Source organism: Homo sapiens, chromosome 16 (genome assembly GCF_000001405.40).
Source record: "Homo sapiens chromosome 16, GRCh38.p14 Primary Assembly".
In the NCBI taxonomy this organism is placed as follows: Eukaryota; Metazoa; Chordata; class Mammalia; order Primates; family Hominidae; genus Homo; species Homo sapiens.
This window is the reverse complement of record NC_000016.10, coordinates 23,437,438-23,455,789: the sequence shown is the minus strand read 5'-3', so window position 1 is coordinate 23,455,789 and position 18,352 is coordinate 23,437,438. Positions and strand designations below refer to the sequence as shown.

General features: G+C 45.9%; 1 protein-coding gene and 1 long non-coding RNA gene across 3 annotated transcripts in view, besides 2 other annotated features; one reads left to right on the top strand and one right to left on the bottom strand.

Annotated features, from left to right (window-relative positions):
• Window positions 1-3,047, bottom strand: LOC124903667 (uncharacterized). The gene is made up of 2 exons (XR_007065030.1): window positions 2,525-3,047; window positions 1-320 (listed from the first exon to the last, which is right to left on the bottom strand). It is a non-coding gene; the product is annotated as an uncharacterized LOC124903667 (long non-coding RNA).
• Window positions 2,272-2,321: an enhancer, noted in NCBI's record as "active region_10581". NCBI's record gives its function as "activates an Ori minimal core promoter by ATAC-STARR-seq in GM12878 lymphoblastoid cells {active_cell/tissue: GM12878}" and the evidence as "EXISTENCE:reporter gene assay evidence [ECO:0000049][PMID:35858748]".
• Window positions 2,601-18,352, top strand: part of COG7 (component of oligomeric golgi complex 7) — a 64,697-nt gene continuing 48,945 nt past the window's right edge. Inside the window, exons 1-4 of one of the 2 annotated variants that reach the window (NM_153603.4) lie at window positions 2,601-2,964; window positions 9,829-9,977; window positions 10,626-10,742; window positions 13,145-13,313. In NM_153603.4, coding sequence (NP_705831.1) covers window positions 2,796-2,964; window positions 9,829-9,977; window positions 10,626-10,742; window positions 13,145-13,313 — 604 coding nt within the window. In that variant the 5' untranslated portion in view covers window positions 2,601-2,795. Of the gene's footprint in view, window positions 2,965-3,027; window positions 3,048-9,828; window positions 9,978-10,625; window positions 10,743-13,144; window positions 13,314-18,352 lie in introns of those variants that run through there. The other variant, XM_017023870.2, reaches the window with a different exon arrangement.
• Window positions 2,612-2,941: an enhancer, noted in NCBI's record as "active region_10580". NCBI's record gives its function as "activates an Ori minimal core promoter by ATAC-STARR-seq in GM12878 lymphoblastoid cells {active_cell/tissue: GM12878}" and the evidence as "EXISTENCE:reporter gene assay evidence [ECO:0000049][PMID:35858748]".

Sequence of the window (18,352 nt, the reverse complement as noted above, 5' to 3'; positions counted from 1 at the left end):
TTAGCATTAAAAGGAAATACTTATTTTATTTATTTATTTTTTGAGATGGAGTCTCACTCTGTCACCCAGGCTGGATAACAGTGGCCCGATCTCTGTTCACTGCAACCTTTGCCTCCCGGGTTCAAGCAGTTCTCCTGCCTCAGCCTCCTGAGTAGCTGGGATTACAGGTGCACACAACCACGCCAGGCTGTTTTTGTATTTTCAGTAGAGACGGGGTTTCACCATGTTGGGCAGGCTAGTCTTGTATGGAACTCCTGACCTTGTGATCCTCCTGCCTCGGCCTCCCAAAGTGCTGGGATTGCAGGCATGAGCCACTGCACCTAGAAAAGGAAATACTTATAAATAAATAAATTTAACAAAATAAGTGCAAGACTTGTATTATACAATGAAAACTACAAAATATTGCTGAGAGAAATTAAAGAAGATCTAAATCAGATCTAAATCCCCAGGGGTGATTCCTACTAGGGAACACTTGGCACTGTGTGGACAGATTTTTGGTTGCCACAACTTGGAGAGGATGTTGCTCCTAATGGGTAGCGGCCAGGGATGCTGCGAAATATCTTACAATGCATAGGACAGCCCCCATAACTAAAAATTATCTGGGCTCAGTAGTGCCAAGGCTGAAAAATTCCCATCTAAATAAATGAAGAGGCGTTTCATGCTATGGATTGGAACAGTCAATATTGTCATGATGGCAATTCTCCTAAAATTAATCCAACAATTCAACAGTTCAACATAATCCCTGTCAAAATCCCAGCAGGATTTTTTTTTTTTTTGGGGGGGATGGAGTCTCGGTCTGTTGCCCAGGCTGGAGTGCAGTGGCGGATCTCGGTTCACTGCAACCTCTGCCTCCTAGGTTCAAGCGATTCTCCTGCCTCTGCCTCCTGAGTGGCTGGGATTACAGGCGCGTGCCACCATGCCCAGCTAATTTTTTTATTATTAGTAGAGATGGGGTTTGACCATGTTGGTCAGGCTGGTCTCAAACTCCTGACCTCATCATCTGCCTGCCTCGGCCTCCCAAAGTGCTGGGATTACAGGCGTGAGCCACTGTGTCCTGCCTAAATTTTTAACAAGAGCAAAGTAAGAGGACTTACACTATCAGATTGCTCCCCTCGTCTCCCCTCCCTGCATTGCTCCCCTCCTCTCTCCTTCCCTCCTCTCCCCTCCCCCCAAATAACTGGGACTCCTAGCAGAAGGGTTACCCCAGTTAAAACCTACTCAACCCAGAAGAATGAGACAAACCAAGGGAGATGCCAATGAAAAACGAGTGACTATCAGGCCTGGAGATGGCAGCCAGCCACTCATACCCCAATGGCAGGCCAACCTGGAAAACTGTCCCCTGTAGGGTTTCCAAGGATGACATCTTGTCCTCCCCCTTGGGTTGGTCCCACTCTTGAAACAACATAAAAACTTAGAACCTAAAGAATACCCTCATACCTTCCCCTACCTTTTCTTCTTTTCTTTTCGAGACAGGGTCTCGCTCTGTCACCCAGGCTGGAGTGCAGTGGCGTGATCACAGCTCACTGCAGCCTCGACCTCCTGGGCTCAGGCAATCCTCTCACCCCAGCCTCTCGAGTAGCTGAGACTACAGGTGTGCGCCACCACACTCAGCTAATTTTTAATTTTTTTGCAGAGACGGGGTCTTCCTATGTTGCCCAGGCTGAGAAATTGTTTGTGATTATGGGTTATGCACAGATTTCTCAGCCGCAACACCAAAAGCATGATCCATAAAAAAAGGTGATAAGGAACTTAACAAACTTTAAAAGGTCTGCACCTCAAAACACATCATTAAGAAAATAATTAGTTAGGCCAGGCGCGGTGACTCACGCCTGTGATCCCAACACTTTGGGAGGCCGAGGCAGGCGGATCACCTGAGGTTGGGAGTTTGAGGCCAGCCTGGCCAGCGTGGTGAAACCCCATCTCTACTAATAATACAAAAAGTAGCCGGGCGTGGTGGCACGCGCCTGTAATCCCAGCTACTCGGGAGGCTGAGGCAAGACACTCGCTTGAACCTGGGAGGCGGAGGTTGCAGTGAGCCGAGATCGCGTCACTTCGCTCCAACCTGGGCGACAGAGCAAGACTCCGTCTCAGAAAAAAATAAAGAAAGAAAGAAAAAGAAAGAAATAGCCGGGCGTGTTGTCGCGCGCCTGTAGTCCCAGCTACTCTGGAGGCTGAGGTGGGAGGATCGCTGGAGCCCAGAAATTTGAGGCTGCAGTGAGCTGAGATCGTTCAATTGCCCAGGAATTTGAGGCTGTAGTGAGCAGAGATCGTTCAATTGCACTCCATTGCTGCCCACTGCGCTCCACTGTTGCCCAGGCTGTCCTAGAACTCCTGGCCTCAAGCGATTCTCCCGCGTCAGCTTCCTAAAGAGCTGGGATTACAGGCGCGAGCCACCGCGTAAATGCGCTAATGTATGTCAGGGCTTTATAGTAAGCATATAGTTTAGTCCTCGGCAAATGTTAGCAGACATGGGATATTTGTCGGTGCCGGGAGCTCTCAGTCCGGGGCGTTTTCCCACACCCACCTCTGCTCAGCGCTCCGGACGCCTGCAGTCACTATGGTAACGGCCAACGACTTCCGGAAGAAGAACGGCGGGCGGCGAGGGTCATTCCCAGCCGCAAACTGAGTGCGCTGAGCGGGGAAGCGCAAAGGGGCAAGTTACCCGTCCTGGCGTTTCTGGGGTTCGCCTCGGAGGCTAGCCTCGGTGCTCTCGCAGGCTCGCTCGCTTCTGCATCCCCGTTGCCGCCCGGAGCCAACTCTTAAGTTCTGGACGCCAGGCCTGAGGCAGTTCCGCCATGGACTTCTCCAAGTTCCTGGCAGACGACTTCGACGTGAAGGAGTGGATCAATGCGGCCTTCAGGGCCGGCTCCAAGGAGGCGGCGTCCGGGAAGGCGGATGGCCACGCAGCCACCCTGGTGATGAAGCTGCAGCTGTTCATCCAAGAGGTGAACCACGCCGTGGAGGGTGAGCCGCTCGGGGCCCTGGCCGCGGGACCCTCCCCTGCTCTCGGCTGGGCAGAGGTCACCGAACTTGCGTGAGGCACTCAGGTGGGCGGGGCACGCATGGACAGCAAATACCCTCGGCAAAAGAGCAAGCCCCGAACTCCTGATCACGTCAGCGGGAGTCTCAGCTGGGTGCCGGGCTGTCTTGAACACTTGCTAATTTTGGGTGTTGTTTTTCCTCCTCTGGCTGGGCTATAAGTTTCCTTTTTCTTTTCTTTCTTTCTCTTTGTTTTTTCTTTTGAAACAGGGTCTCTCTACAGTGGCTCGATCATAGCTCACTGCAGCCTCGAACTCCTGCACTCAAGCGATCCTCTCGCCTCTCGAGTCGCTAGGACTACAGGCGCGAGCCACCGCGCCCCACAAATTCTGTTTAAAAAAAAAATTGTAGAGATGGGATCTCACTGTGTTGCCAGGCTGGTCTCAAATTCAAATTCCTGGGCATAATGGGTTTTCCAGTCTTGGCCTCCCAAAGTACTGTGATTATACCTGTGAGCCACCACATCTGGCCTGAAGTTTCCTTTTGGAACTTAAAAGAGTGGATCTTATTGCAGTAGCTCTTCTCTAAATAATTCAATAGCAGATCTCTGGGATTCCCTTTTTATTATTATCCATAGGCACTGGAAGACAAGATGGATCTTTTTAAATGCTAGAAGTTTTAACCAGTTCTTAACATGTCTTTGTTGAGGCACCTTCCAGAATATAAGATAAAACAACTCCAGTTTCTGTTATAGTGACTTGAATCTCAGAGTCAAGAGCCCAGTGTCAAAGAAAATTGGCTTTGACTTTTTGTAATCTAGGAGCACGAGTCTGTGAGGTGTTTATTCAAAGAGTTAAAGAGCCTGTTTTGTACCAAACAATAAACTGTAAAAAGAAAAAAAAAGTGAATTTTGAGAGTATGAAAGAATAGCCAACAGATCCATATATCTGGAAAAAACGTATTATAGTATAGGTATAAGAGAATGACACAGATCTAGAAAACATTGTTTTAGTGGATTTTATTTCAGCTGAGGAAGATAGGCTGGTCTCAGTGGAGACTTAAACCTTTTTTTTTTTTTTTTTTTTGAGACAGGGTCTCATTCCTCATTCTGCTGCCCAAGCTGGAATGCAGTGATACCATCATAGTTCACTGCAGCCTCAAACTCTGGGTTCAAGCAGTCCGCTCGCCTCAGCCTCCCAAGTAACTGGAACTATAGGCATGTGCCACCATGCCTGGCTAATTAAAAAAAAAAATTTTTTTTTAGAGACAAGGTCGCACTATGTTGCCCAGGTTGATCTCAAATTTCTGACCTCAAGTGATCCTCCCATCTTGGCTTCCCAAAGCCCTAGGATTACTGGTGTGAGCCACCACGCCTGGCCTAAACCATTTGTTGAGGATAAGTTAAATTATAAAAAATAACATGCACTGGCAACCATTTCATGTAACTCCTCAACTTGACTTTTATTCACCGTGTGTTGATTCACTGTGTGTTGATTCAGTACGTACTGCACACAAGTCTCTCTCCTAGGCTCAGATGGAAAGACCAAACAGACTGCTTCCACTGGGAGTGGATAGTCCAAGAGATGTTCCCATTTTTGTTTGTTTTTTTGTTTTTTTTGAGACGAAGTCTCGCTCTTTCCCCCTGGCTGGAGTGCAGTGGCGCCATCTCAGCTCACTGCAACCTCCCCCTTCTGAGTTCAAGTTATTCTCCTGCCTCTACCTCCTGAGTAGCTGGGATTACAGGTGCGTGCCCCACCCCTGGCTAATTTTTGTATTTTTAGTAGAGATGGGGTTTCATGATGTTGGCCAGGCTGATCTTGAACTCCTGACCTCAGGTGATCCACCCACCTCGGCCTCCCAAAGTGCTGGGATTACAGGCATGAGCCACTGTGCCCGGCCAGATGTGCCCATTGTTTAAGAAAAGGTAGGGAGGGGGCTCTATTTCACTGCAGATTGTTTTCTTTCTTTCTTTTTTTTTTTGAGACAGGGTCTCACTTTGTCACCCAGGCTACAGTGCAGTGGTGTGGTCAGTGCTCACTGCAGCTTCACCTCTCGGGCTCGAGGAATTCTCCTGCCCCAGCCTCCTGAATAACTGGGACCACAGGCTTGTGCCACCATGCCAGATGGCACAATTTTTTGATTTTTTGTAGAGATGGGGTCTCACTATGTTGTCCAGGCTGGTCTCAAACTCCTGAGCTCAGGCGATCCTCCAGCCTTTGCCTCCTAAAGTGCTGGGATTACAGGCGTGAGCCACCGCGCCCAGCCCTTATTCTTTATTGTACCTTGCATCTTTTACTAATTATTGAGCATCTACTATGCATGTGTCCAGAAATGGGCAGTGGGGAGGAAAAGTTTATCTTGCTCGAGCTTGCTGCCTTTGGGGAAGATAGAAACAGTAAATTACAATGACGGATGGCTTTACTCAGAATAGAATCTGGAGTTGTGAGAACTGTCAGGAGGGTGCAGTTACTTCTTGTTTAGGAGAATCATAAAGCACTTGCCCTGTGTTAGACCTTGAAGGAAAACTTTGTAGGGCAAAGAGGAAAGGACATTAATAATAATATAATAGCAAATTGGCTGGGCGCAGTGGCTCATGCCTGTAATCTCAGCACTTTTGGAAGGCTGAGGCGAGAGAATCACCTGAGGTCAGGAGTTCCAGACCAGCCTGGTCAACATGGTGAAACCCCATCTCTACTAAAAATACAAAATTAGAGGTGGGTGTGGTGACATGCGCTGTAGTCCCAGCTACTCAGGAGGCTGAGGCAGGAGAATCGCTTGAACCCAGGAGGCAGAAGTTGCAGTGAGCAGAGATCCCACCACTACACTCCAGCCTGGGTGACAGAGTGAGACTCTGTCTCAAAAATAATAATAATAATGATATAATAGCACATATATGAGGTTTGGTACATGTCAGACACTCTTTTTGGTGCTCTATATGTATTAACTAAGTGATTCTGAAACATGGGTTGCAATGCTTTCCTTGCCTCCCCTTATCCTTGTTCCTGCCCTCAGGAACAGGGACTATTTGGAAATTGGTGGGAGGTTTTTTTTTTTTTTTTGAGATGGAGTTTCAATCTTGTTGCCCAGGATGGAGTGCGATGGAGTGCAATGGCGTGATCGCGGCTCACTGCAACCTCCGCCTCTCGGGTTCAAGCAATTCTCCTGCCTCAGCCTCCCGAGTAGCTGGGTGTATAGGCATGCGCCACCATGCCTGGCTAATTTTGTATTTTTAGTAGAGATGGGTTCTACATGATGGTCAGGCTGGTCTCGAGCTCCCAACCTCAGGTGATCTGCCTGCCTCGGCCTCCCAAAGTGCTGGGATTACAGGCATGAGCTATTGCGCCTGGACTGTGGGAGCTTTTTTATTTATTTTATTTATTTTTTATTTTATTTTATTTTATTTTATTTTATTTTATTTTATTTTATTTTAATTTAATTTTATTTTTTTGAGATGGAGTCTCGCTCTGTCGCCCAGGCTGGAGGGCAGTGGCGTGATCTCGACGCACTGCAAGCTCTGCCTCCAGGGTTTACACCATTCTCCTGCCTCAGCCTCCCGAGTAGCTGGGACTACAGGCGCCCGCCACCACGCCTGGCTAATTTTTTGTATTTTTAGTAGAGACGGGGTTTCACCTTGTTAGCCAGAATGGTCTCGATCTCCTGACCTTGTGATCCACTCGCCTCGGCCTCCCAAAGTGCTGGGATTATAGGCGTGAGCCACTGCGCCTGGCTGTGGGAGCTTTTTTAGTTGTTGCATTAAAGGGGTGACATTCAGTGGCATTCAGACATAAGACATTCAGTGGGAGGACCCAGTGATGCTTAATGTCCTGCAGTGCTTGGTACAGTCCTGCACAGTGAAGAATTGTCCTGGCCTAAATGTGAATAGTACCTGCTTTTGGGCATGGTTATCTAATTTAAACCTGACAGTTATCCTTAGAGGTAGGCACAGTTATTATGTCCACTGTAGACTTGTAGAAACTGAGGTTGAGAGAAGTTAAGTAACTTGCTCGGCATCATGTTCCTAATGAATGGAGAGCCTGGACTGAACCCAGACAGTTGGCTCCAGAGCCCAGGCCCTTAACCATTATATTTCACTACTTCCTTGGTATTAAAGAGAGAGAGAGAGTAACATATGCACAGGAGTGTGGCTATAAGAAGGCGTAGTCCAGGGAAAGGTGAGAAGTTCAAACAGAGCTGCATGAATAATATCAATAAACAGTCTGGGTGTGATCTCAGTGCTTTGGGAAGCTGAAGTGGGAGGATTGCTCGAGGCCAGGAGTTCCAGACCAGCAGTTCCAGACCAGCCTAGACAACATAGCAAGACCCTATCTCTACAAAAAATTAAAAAACTAGCCAGCATGGTGGTTCATGCTTGTAGTCCAGCTACTCGGAAGGATTGCTTGAGCCTAGAAGTTCGAGGCAGCAGTGAGCTAGGATTGCACCACAGCACTCCAATGTGGGGGACAGAGTGAGACAAGATAATTAGTAGTGTTATTATTAGAGAATCACACTTTTGTAGGGGAAATGTAACTGAAGATGAGGCAGATAAATAGATCGGGATCAGCCTGCGAAAGACCTTTCTGGCCAGCCTTGGGAGTTTGGCTTTTATCCCTTAGGCAGTAGGTAGCCTTCATAGGTTTAAAGCTTCATTTATTTTTATGCAAGATGAGACAAGGGCCCAAGTCTGCGATGAGGAAGGGTGATTGTAGCCGTTCAAGCACATGTTGAGGACCCCAAATTGGAGGACCAATTTCTCCATTTAGTCAGTCAACAAATATTTATTGGGCACAAACTCTTTTCTAGGTTCTAAAAATACACTGTTGAACAAGACCCAGTGTTGGATTGGAGAGGTCCACAGGGGCCACGTTATGCAGGGATTTTATTTTTATTTTTATTTATTTATTTATTTATTTTTGAGATGGAGTCTCACTCTGTTGCCAGGCTGGAGTGCAGTGGTGTAATCTCAACTCACTGCAACCTCCGCCTCCCAGGTTCAAGTGATTCTCCTGCCTCAGCCTCCCGAGTAGCTGGGGCTACAGGCACACACCACCACACCCAGCTAATTTTTGTATTTTTAGTAGAGACAGGGTTTCACCACGTTGGCCAGGCTGGTCTTGATCTCTTGACCTCGTGATCTGCCTGCCTCAGCCTCCCAAAGTGCTGGGATTACAGGCATGAGCCACCACGCCTGGCCAGGGATTTTATTTTATTTCTTTATTTTTAAGAAACAGGGTCTTGCTCTGTCACCCAGGTTAGAGTGCTATGCAGGGATTTCAGTGTCACATTAAAGAGTTTGATTTTAAGGCCAGGTGCGGTGGCTTATGCCTGTAATCCCAGCACTTTGGGAGGCTGAGGTGGGTGGATCACCTGAGACCAGGAGTTTGAGACTAGCCTGACCTACACAGCAAAACCCCGTCTCTACTAAAAATATAAAAATTAGCCGGGCATGGTGGTGCACAACTGTAATCCCAGCTACTTGGGAGGCTGAGGCAGGAGATCACTTGAACCTAGGAGGCAGAGGTTCCAGTGAGCTGAGATTGTGCCACTGCACTCCAGTCTGGGTGACAGAGGGAGACTCTGTCTCAATAAATAAATAAATAGAGTGTGAATTTAATTTAAAAATAAGGCATTGTAAGATTTTTAAGCAGCAGAGTAACATGGTTCAGGAGGCTATTGCTGAGGTCCAGAAAAGAGATGATAGTGGCTTCAACTGGGGTGATGGCAGTGAAGATGATGAGTAATGGGTATATTTAAGATATTTTTAGGCTTGGCATTGTGGATCACACTTGTAATCCCAGCATTTTGGGAGGCCTAGCCAGGCAGGTCCCTTGAGCCCAGGAGTTTGAGACCAGCCTGGGCAACATGGTGAAACTGTCTCTGCAAAATATATAAAAATTATTCAGTCCTGGTGGTGTGTGCCTGTAGTCCCACCTACTTGAGAGGCTGAGGTGGGAGGATCACCTGAGACCAGGAGGTTGAGGTTGCAGTGAGCTGTGATTTCACCACTGCACTCCAGTCTGGGCAACCGAGTGAGACCCTGTCTCAAAAATAATTTTAAAATAGGCCGGGCCTGGTGGCTCATGCCTGTATTCCCAGCACTTTGGGAGCCCAAGGCGGGTGGATCACCTGAGGTCAGGGGTTCAAGACCAGCCTGGCCAACATGGTGAAACCCCGTCTCTACTGAAAATACAAAAAATTAGCCAGGCGGGTGGCGGGCGCCTATAAAACCAGCTACTCAGGAGGCTGAGGCAGGAGAATCACTTGAACCTGGGAGGCAGAGGTTGCAGTGAGCCGAGATTGCGCCACTGCACTCCAGCCTGGGTGACAGAGCGAAACTCTGTATCAAAAAAAAAAAAAAAAAAAAAAAAGACCATGGAAAGCAGGCATTGGGGCCAGACCTATCTGAGGCTTACTTTTAGCTCTGTAAGATCTTGGGCAAGTTACTTTAACCTCTCTGAGTTTTCTTATCAGTAGGAGGTGGCTGCTAATGACCGCCGTGGACATTAAGTAATATGATGTATGCAAAGCTCCTGGGGCATGCCTCCTTGCAAGTGGAGTTATGATTTCACTGGTGGTGGCAAGTTGGTGTTGGGACAGGTTGATTGTTGATTCTTTGTGATATCAAAGGCCCTTTCCCATCAGTCTGGGGACGTGATCCCGGCAGGGGCCACCTCACTGCCCATCTCCTCTCCTGCCCCATATTTTCTGCAGGCTCCAAAAACCGTTTGGTTGGTCGTGCATTTCCTTTCTGTTGTCTGATTTGTTTCCTGTATTTTACTGGTGGCTGGTCCAACTTTCACCTTTTGTGGCTATCGCTGTTGTTGTTGTTTTTTTTTTTTTTTTTAACTACAGAAACAAGTCACCAAGCTCTCCAGAACATGCCCAAAGTGCTCCGTGATGTTGAAGCCCTAAAACAGGAGGCATCTTTCCTGAAAGAACAGATGATTCTTGTCAAGGAGGACATTAAAAAATTTGAACAGGACACATCTCAATCCATGCAGGTATTTTGGCTCCTTTTGGCTCCTGTTGTAAATGGTGATTCTTGCTTTGGGAAGGTGGTCACTCTCGTAAGGGCTTTAGAACAGCACGGTGTTTTGGGAGGCCAACCATCACTCAAGATTCTGCCCAGCACTCCAGCTATGCTCTTTTTTTTTTGAGACAGAGTGTCGCTCTGTAGCTGGAGTGCAGGCTGCAGTACAGTGGCGTGATCTCAGCTCATGGCAACCTCCACCTCCCAGGTTCAAGCGATTCTCGTGCCTCAGCCTTCTGAGTAGCTGGGATCACAGACGTGCAACACCATGCCCGGCTGATTTTTGTATTTTTAGTAGAGACAGGGTTTCACCATGTTGCCCAGGCTGGTCTGGAACTCCTGGTCTCAAGTGATCCTCCCATCTTGGCCTCCCAAAGTGCTGGGATTACAGGCGTGAGCCACTGTGCCTGGCTCCCCGAAACTATGCTTTTGCTTGGGTCTTTCAGCTGGTTCATCTCTTCAGCACTGCTGAATAAATTTAGCCAGATGATTGGTGTTTTGGGAGACAGAAGCTCCCTAAAGACAGAAGCAAGCCACCATACTTACATTTCAAGTCCCTGGTGGCAGATGGAGAAAAAGGACCTACCCCTTCATTTTTCACCCCTCACGCCTCTTTCAGGTGTTGGTAGAAATTGACCAAGTGAAGTCCAGAATGCAACTTGCTGCCGAATCTCTTCAGGAAGCAGATAAGTGGAGCACGTTGAGCGCCGATATTGAGGAGACATTTAAGACTCAGGTAGGTTTCTTGTTTAGGGGATGTTATGAAAGGTATTTAAGCAAGAACTTGAGGTTTGGAGAAAGCAAAAGAGATACAAAGTTGATAGCCAATAGCAGCATTCAGAAACCTTCAGACTCAGGGTGGGGAAGATCTGAAGCTGCTCGGTGTGTTTCCAGCCTCTTTAGCTTGCACCCTCTGTGTGACTGAAGCCTCTTAGTCACAGAATGAGTTCAAGAGAAGCCTTGATAAAGATGTACAGGCACCAGGCACTGTGGCTCATACCTGAAATCCCAGCTCTTTGGGATGCTGAGGTGGGAGGATCACTTGAGGCCAGGAGTTTGAGACCAGCCTGGGCAAAATAATGAGACCCCCGTCTCTACAAAAAAATTAAAAAATTAGCCAGGTGTGGTGCTGCACATTTGTAGTTCCAGCTACTCAGGAGGCTGAGGTGGGAGGATCTCTTGAGCCCAGGAGTTGAAGGCTACAGTAAACTATGATCATACCACTATGCTGAGGGACAGAGCAAGACCCTGTCTCAAAAAAAAAAAAAAAAAGAAGAAGAAAAGAAAAACCAGCACAGGCAGAGAAGGTTGGGGGTAAATGGACGAGAGGGTGGAACATGGGGAAAGGGGAGCCTTATATACCTTGGGGACTTGGTGGGTTATTGACCCCTTCTGAGGCTGCAAAGTGTGGAAAATAGTAACATTTTCCACCTGGGATGTAAGGATGAAGTAAGATGATGTCTTATGAAGAACTCTTACTCAATTGTAAAGCAAAATGAATGATTTATCAGTCAGTTTTTTTAAAAAGTTACAAATGCACATGGGAACAAATTTATTACACAGGAATAAACTGCAAAAAATAAGTTTTTTTCCTAACCCTGACCCCCACCTTAGTCCTCTAATTTTTCTTTTTTTTTTTTTCTTTTGAAACGGAGTCTCATTCTGAAGCCCAGGCTGGAGTACAGTGGCATGATACCTCCACTTCCTGGGTTCAAGTGATTATCCTGTCTCAGCCTCCCGAGTACCTGGGATTATAGGCGCGCACTACCATACCCGGCTAATTTTTGTATTTTTAGTAGAGATGGGATTTCACCATGTTGGCCAGGCTGGTCTTGAACTACTGACCTCAGGTGATCTGCCCTCCTCGGCCTCCCAAAGTGCAGGGATTACAGGCGTGAGTCACCATGCCCGGCCGGGGGCTAATTTTTCTTGTGCGGACAAGCCCTGTTATCAACTTTATGCCCATCCTTCCAGATATGCACATACATATTTATGTTCCCTGCCCCTTTTTTTCCTCACAAAGCTCATTGTGAACACTGCTTTTCACTTTATTTTTTCACTCAACAATCTATCTTTTATTTATTTATTTATTGAGACAGAGTCTTGCTCTGTTGCCCAGGCCGGAGTCCAGTGGCATGATCTCGGCTCACTGCAAACCTCTGCCTCCTGGGTTCAAGCGATTCTCCTGCCTCAGCCTCCCGAGTAGCTGGGATTACAGGTGGACGCCACCATGCCTGGCTAATTTTTGTATTTTTAGTAGAGATGGTTTCACCATGTTGGCCAGGCTGGTTGCAAACTCCTGACCTCAGGTGATCCTTCAGCCTTGGCCTCCCAAAGTGCTGGGATTACAGGGGCGTGAGCCACCCTTCCCGGCTGCCTGACCAATTTCTTAAAATGTTTTGTAAAGACAAGGTCTTGCTATATTGGTCAGGCTGGTCTTGAACTCCTGGCCTCATGCAATCCTCCTGCCTCAGCCTCTGAAAATGCTGAGATTTATAGGTATAAGCCATTGTGCCCAGCCTGGATGTGAATATTTTTAAAACTCTTAGCACATATTGCTAAATTGCCTTCCAGAAAGACAGTATAAATTTAAATTTATGATACCAGATTGTCTTTTTTCTTTGTACCCTCACCAACAATAGCTATTATAATTTTTCAAACACTTTTCCAATTTGTTAGGAGGAAAATGACACTTTATTGTTTTAATTTAATTTGCATTTATTTGAGTACAGGTTTTTTGTTTTTTTTTTGAGACGGGGTCTTTCTCTGTTGCCCAGGCTGGAGTGCAGTGGTGTGATCTTGGCTAACTGCAGTCTCCACCTTCCAGGCTCAAGTGATCCTCCTGCCTTAGCTTCCTGGGTAGCTGGGACTACAGGTGCGCATGACCACACTCAGCTAATTTTTACTGTTTGTAGAGACTGGATCTTGCCATGTTAACCAGGCTGGTCTTGAACTCCTGGCTTCAAGGGATCCTCCTGCCTCAATCTCCGAAAGTGCTGGGATTACAGGCATGAACCACCACGATGCCCAGCCCCATTTTCATACTTGATGAGTTGCCTTTTCATGTATTTTATCTATTCCCAATTGAGGCAGTAGGGATCATTTAAAATAAATATTCTCTATTCTGGTCTTTTCTAGGACATAGCTGTGATTTCTGCCAAGCTAACAGGTATGCAGAACAGCTTAATGATGCTTGTTGATACACCAGACTACTCAGAAAAGTGTGTGCACTTGGAGGCACTGAAGAACAGGCTGGAGGCCCTAGCCAGTCCACAGATTGTAGCGGCATTCACCTCTCAGGCTGTAGGTGAGTGCTAGCTGCTTCTCATCTCTGTGTATATCTCTCTATAAAGATAAGGCCTTGTAAGTCTTCAGTTTTTAGAATGTCTTAATGGTGATTGAATTACATAGATTAGAAGGAACTCTGTAATTTTTTTTTTTTTTTTTTTTGAGACGGAGTCTTTCTCTGTCACCGAGGCTGGAGTGTAGTGGCGCAATCTTGGCTTACTGCAACCTCCACCTCCTGGGTTCAAGTGATTCTCCTGCCTCAGCCTCCCGAGTAGCTGGGATTACAGGCGTGTGCCACCACACCCAGGTAATTTTTGTATTTTGAATAGAAACGGGCTTTCACCATGTTGGCCGGGCTGGTCTCAAACTCCTGACCTCAGGTGATCCCCTCGCCTCGGCCTCCCAAAGTGCTGGGATTAACAGACATGAGCCACCGCGCCCGGCCAGGAGTGTCTTTCTATTGCTTTTATGTGTAGAAAGCAATAACTGCTTTTGGAATTCTTGGGTCACACACTTTCTCCTTCAGAATTCTTCATTGTCTTCTGCCATCTATATTTATTTTTCTTTTCCCGCAGAATGTCTCACAAAACAGCCAAATATACTTCTGTAAAGGCAAAAGGTGAAATGCTACTTCTGTGAATTCTGTCTTCTAGTGCGAATGCATTTCCCTCTATATTCTGATAAGTATGAGATTGGCCTGCTGCTTCTTCCTATTATTTTTTTTTTGTATGTAGCTTGTTTCTTTTCCCTGAATAGTTATAACAGGACTGACAAACATTTCCTGTAAAGGGCCAGATCATAAATATTAGTATTTGGCGGCCTTGTGGTCTCTCTCACAGATACCTCTGCAGTTGTGGCACAAAAGCCCACTCGTAAATGGATGGGCTTTGCTGTGTGCCAGTAAATTTTTTTTGTTTTTTTAAGACGAAGTCTCGCTGTGTTCCCCATGCTGGCGTGCAGTGGCGTGACCTCAGCTCAATGCAGCCTCTGCCCCCCAGGCTCAAGCGATTCTCCTGTCTCAGTCTCCCGAGTAGCTGGGATTACAGACGTGCGCCACCACACCTGGCTAATTTTTATATTTTCAGTAGAGATGAGGTTTCACCATGTCGTCCAGGCTGGTCTTGAACTCCTGATCTCAAGTGATCTGCCCACCTCGGCCTCCCAAAGTGTTGGGATTAGAGGCGCGAGCCACCATGCCTGGCCAAGTAAAACTTTATTTACAAAAACAGATGGCAGTTTGGCCTGCTGGCGCATAGTTTGCCAAATTATGGCTTATAAGATTCTTTTACCTTGTAGTTTAGTAACTTCTCTAGGTTCTTTTTCAGTTTTGAAAATTTTTAACTTTTCCAGGACCCAGCGTCAGCCCTTTTCACCTACCAATTCATATCTTCATTTATAGAAAATCACCTTCCTTAAAAATTTTTTTTTTCTGTTTTATTTGTTCTCTTTTCTGTCTTTGAGAACATCAACTATCTGTTCATTAGCTCTCCTTTTTCCCTCTCCATATATATCATATTTTCTCTGGTCTCTTTTGGATGTTTGCCTGCTCCCTCTCAGTCCCCTCCTGCCATGTGTGGTTTTTCTAAAGCTTGTTTTTCATTTGACTGATGGGGTTTTCTGAAGTATCTGTTCCGGAGCATATATGCAGGGCAGCGTGAATCCATGACTCTGGTTTGCAGTCCTCAAACTTCACCCAAATAAACTCTCTACTTATTTAAAAAAATAAAGTATCTGTTCTCGGCCGGGTGCAGTGGCTCATGCCTGTAATCCCAGCACTTTGGGAGGTCAAGGTGGGAGGATCGCCTGAGCCCAGGTGTTTGAGACAAGCCGAGGTATCACAGCAAGACCCCGTCTCTACAAAAAATAAAAAATTAGCTAGGCATGGTAGCGCACGCTTGTAGTCTCAGCTGCTCAGGAGGTTGGGGCAGAAGGATCGCTTGAGCCCAGGAGTGACAGAGTGAGACCTTGTCTCAAAAAAAAAAAAATAGGTTTTGTTTTCTTTGTTCTTCTAATTAATTTTTAATTTTTGTTATGTCATGATTTACTTCCTAATTTTTTTCCTTAGCTCTGCCAACCTCCCTTTGTATCTCATTGTAATACCTTAGATTCTTTTTTTTTTTTTTGAGATGGAGTCTCATTCTGTCACCCAGGGTGGAGTGCAGTGGCATGATGTCTGCCTCCTGGGTTCAAGCGATTCTCCTGCCTTACCTCCCAACTAGCTGGGATTACAGACATGCGCTACCACACCTGGCTAATTTTTTGTATTTTTAGTGGAGATGGGGTTTTGCCATGTTGGCCAGGCTGGTCTTGAACTCCTGACCTCAGGTGATCTGCCTGCCTTGGCCTCCCAAAGTGCAGGTATTACAGGCGTGAGCCACCGTGCCCAGCCTATTTTTTTTTTTTTTTTTTTGTATAGATGGGGTCTTGCTATATTGCTCAGGTTGGTCTTGAACTCCTGGCCTAAAGTGATCCTCACACCTCAGCCTCCTGAAGCCTTAGGTCCTGTTAAAGAAAGGACATGTAATTTCTTTGAGAGTGTGAAGCAATTATTGCCTAAAATTTTCTTCTCTTTCTTAGGGAAAATCTTTGGAAGTGTTCTTTTTTAGAAAAAAATTTAAAAAATTGTGGCAAAATGCATGTAACAAAATCTACCATTTTAATAATTTTTAAGTGTGCATTTCAGTGGCATTAAGTACATTCACGTTGCTGTGCAAACATCACCACCATCCATCTCCAGAACTTTTTTCATCTTTCTGAACTGAAATTTCATACGCATTAAACAGCAACTGTCCATTCCTCCTACCCTCACCTGCCAGCAATCATCATTCTACTTTTGTCCCTATGAATTTGACTACTCTACATGCCTCCTATAAATGGATTCACATAGTATTTTTCCTTTTATGGCTTAGCGTAACATCTTCAAAGCTCATCCATGGTGTAGCATGTGTCAAAATTTCCTTTCTTAAGGCTGAATAATATTCCATCTCATATATTACCACATTTTCTCTATCTATTCATCTGTTGATGGACATTTAGGTTATTTCTACCTTTTGGCTATTGTGAAGAATGCTAGAATGATCATGGGTGTACAAGTGTCTGTTTGAGTTCCAGCTTTCAATTCCTTTAGGGATCTACTCAGAAGTGGAATTGCTGGATCATATGCTTATCTTTTTTTTTTTTTTTTTTTTTTTGGAGACACAGTTTAACTCTGTTGCCCAGGCTGGAGTGCAGTGGCATGATCTGTCTGTTTGAGTTCCAGCTTTCAATTCCTTTAGGGATCTACTCAGAAGTGGAATTGCTGGATCATATGCCTATCTTTTTTTTTTTTTTTTTTTTTGGAGACACAGTTTAACTCTGTTGTCCAGGCTGGAGTGCAGTGGCATGATCTCGGCTCACTGTGACCTCTGCCACCCAGATTGAAGCGATTCTTGTGCCTCAGCCTCCCGAGTAGCTGGGATTAAAGGTGCGCACCACCACACCTAGCTAATTTTTGTATGTTTAGTAGAGATGGGGTTTCACCATGTTGGCCAGGCTGGTCTCGAACTCCTGGCCTCAAGTGATCCGCCCGTCTTGGCCTTCCGAAGTGCTGGGATTACAGGTGTGAGCCACCACACCCGGCCATATGGTAATCTGATGTTTAATTTTTTGAGGAGCTGTTATACTGTTCTCCATAGTGGCTGCACCATTTTACACTACCACCAGCAATGCACAAGGGTTCCAATTTCTCCACACCTTTCCAACCCTTGTCATTTTTTGTTTTTTTTTGGATTATAGCCATACTAATTAGTATGAAATGGTATCTTATGGTTTTGATTTTCATTCCTCTAATGATTAATGATATTGAGTGTATTTTCATTTGCTTATTGACTATTTGTATATTCCTGGAAAAATGTCTATTCAAATCCTTTCCCCATTTTTGTTTTGTTTTGTTGTTTTTTGAGACAGGGTCTTGCACTGTCACCCAGGCTGGAATGCAGTGGTGCAATCATGGCTCACCGCAGCCTTGACCTCCCAAGCTCAAGTGATCCTCCCACGGCAGCCTCCCAAGTAGCTGGGACTACAGGTGTGCACTACCACGCCCAGCTAATTTTTTGTTTTTTGTAGAGATAGGGTCTTGCTATGCTGCTCAGGCTGGTCTTAGACTCCTGGACTCAAACAATCCTCCCTCCTCAGCCTCTCAAAGTCCTGAGATTACAGGCGTGAGCCAGGGTGCCTGGCCCTTTACCCAATTTTATATTGGGTTATTTGGTTTTTTGCTGGTGAGTTGTAGAAATTCTTCATATATTCTGGATATTATTCTTTTATTGAATATATCTTGCAAATATTTTCTCCCATTCCATGGATTGTGTTTTCATTCTATTATTGATAAAATCTTTTGATGCCCAAGTTTTTAATTTTTTTTTTTTTTTTTTGAGATGGAGTCTTGCTCTGTCTCCAGGCTGAAGTGCAGTGGCTTGATCTCGGCTCGCTGCAACCTCTGCCTCCCGGGTTCAAGCGATTCTCCTGCCTCAGCTTCCCGAGTAGCTGGGACTACAGGCGTGTGCCACCACACCCAGCTAATTTTTGTATTTTTAGTAGAGATGGAGTTTCACTGTGTTGGCCAGGATGGTCTCAATCTCTTGACCTCGTGATCCACCCGCCTCAGCCTCCCCAGGTGCTGGGATTACAGGCGTGAGCCACTGTGCCCGGCCCCAAGTTTTTAATTTTGTTGTAGTCCAATTTATTGAGTGCATAGGTACCGTGGTGGAGTTTTCTTTGTTTCTGCTGATTCATGTTTGTGTGTGATAGTGCTTTTGTTCTGGGCCTGGTATTCACTGAAAAATAGTGGAATTTCCTTGGAAGCCCCTCCTTGTTTAAGAGCGCTTTCCTTTAGCCCTTGATTGAAAGTTTATATTCTCCGCTGTGCTCTTCAGTTAGCTAGAGAGAATGGCCTCAGTACTCATCTCCAGCCCTGTAATTCCCTCTCTTCCTCATTTGTTAATTCTTTATTTTGAGTCTTTTCTTCATTCACAGAATTCTAAGGCTGGAGCTGGGGGGTTGGAAAGTTACCATCTAGGA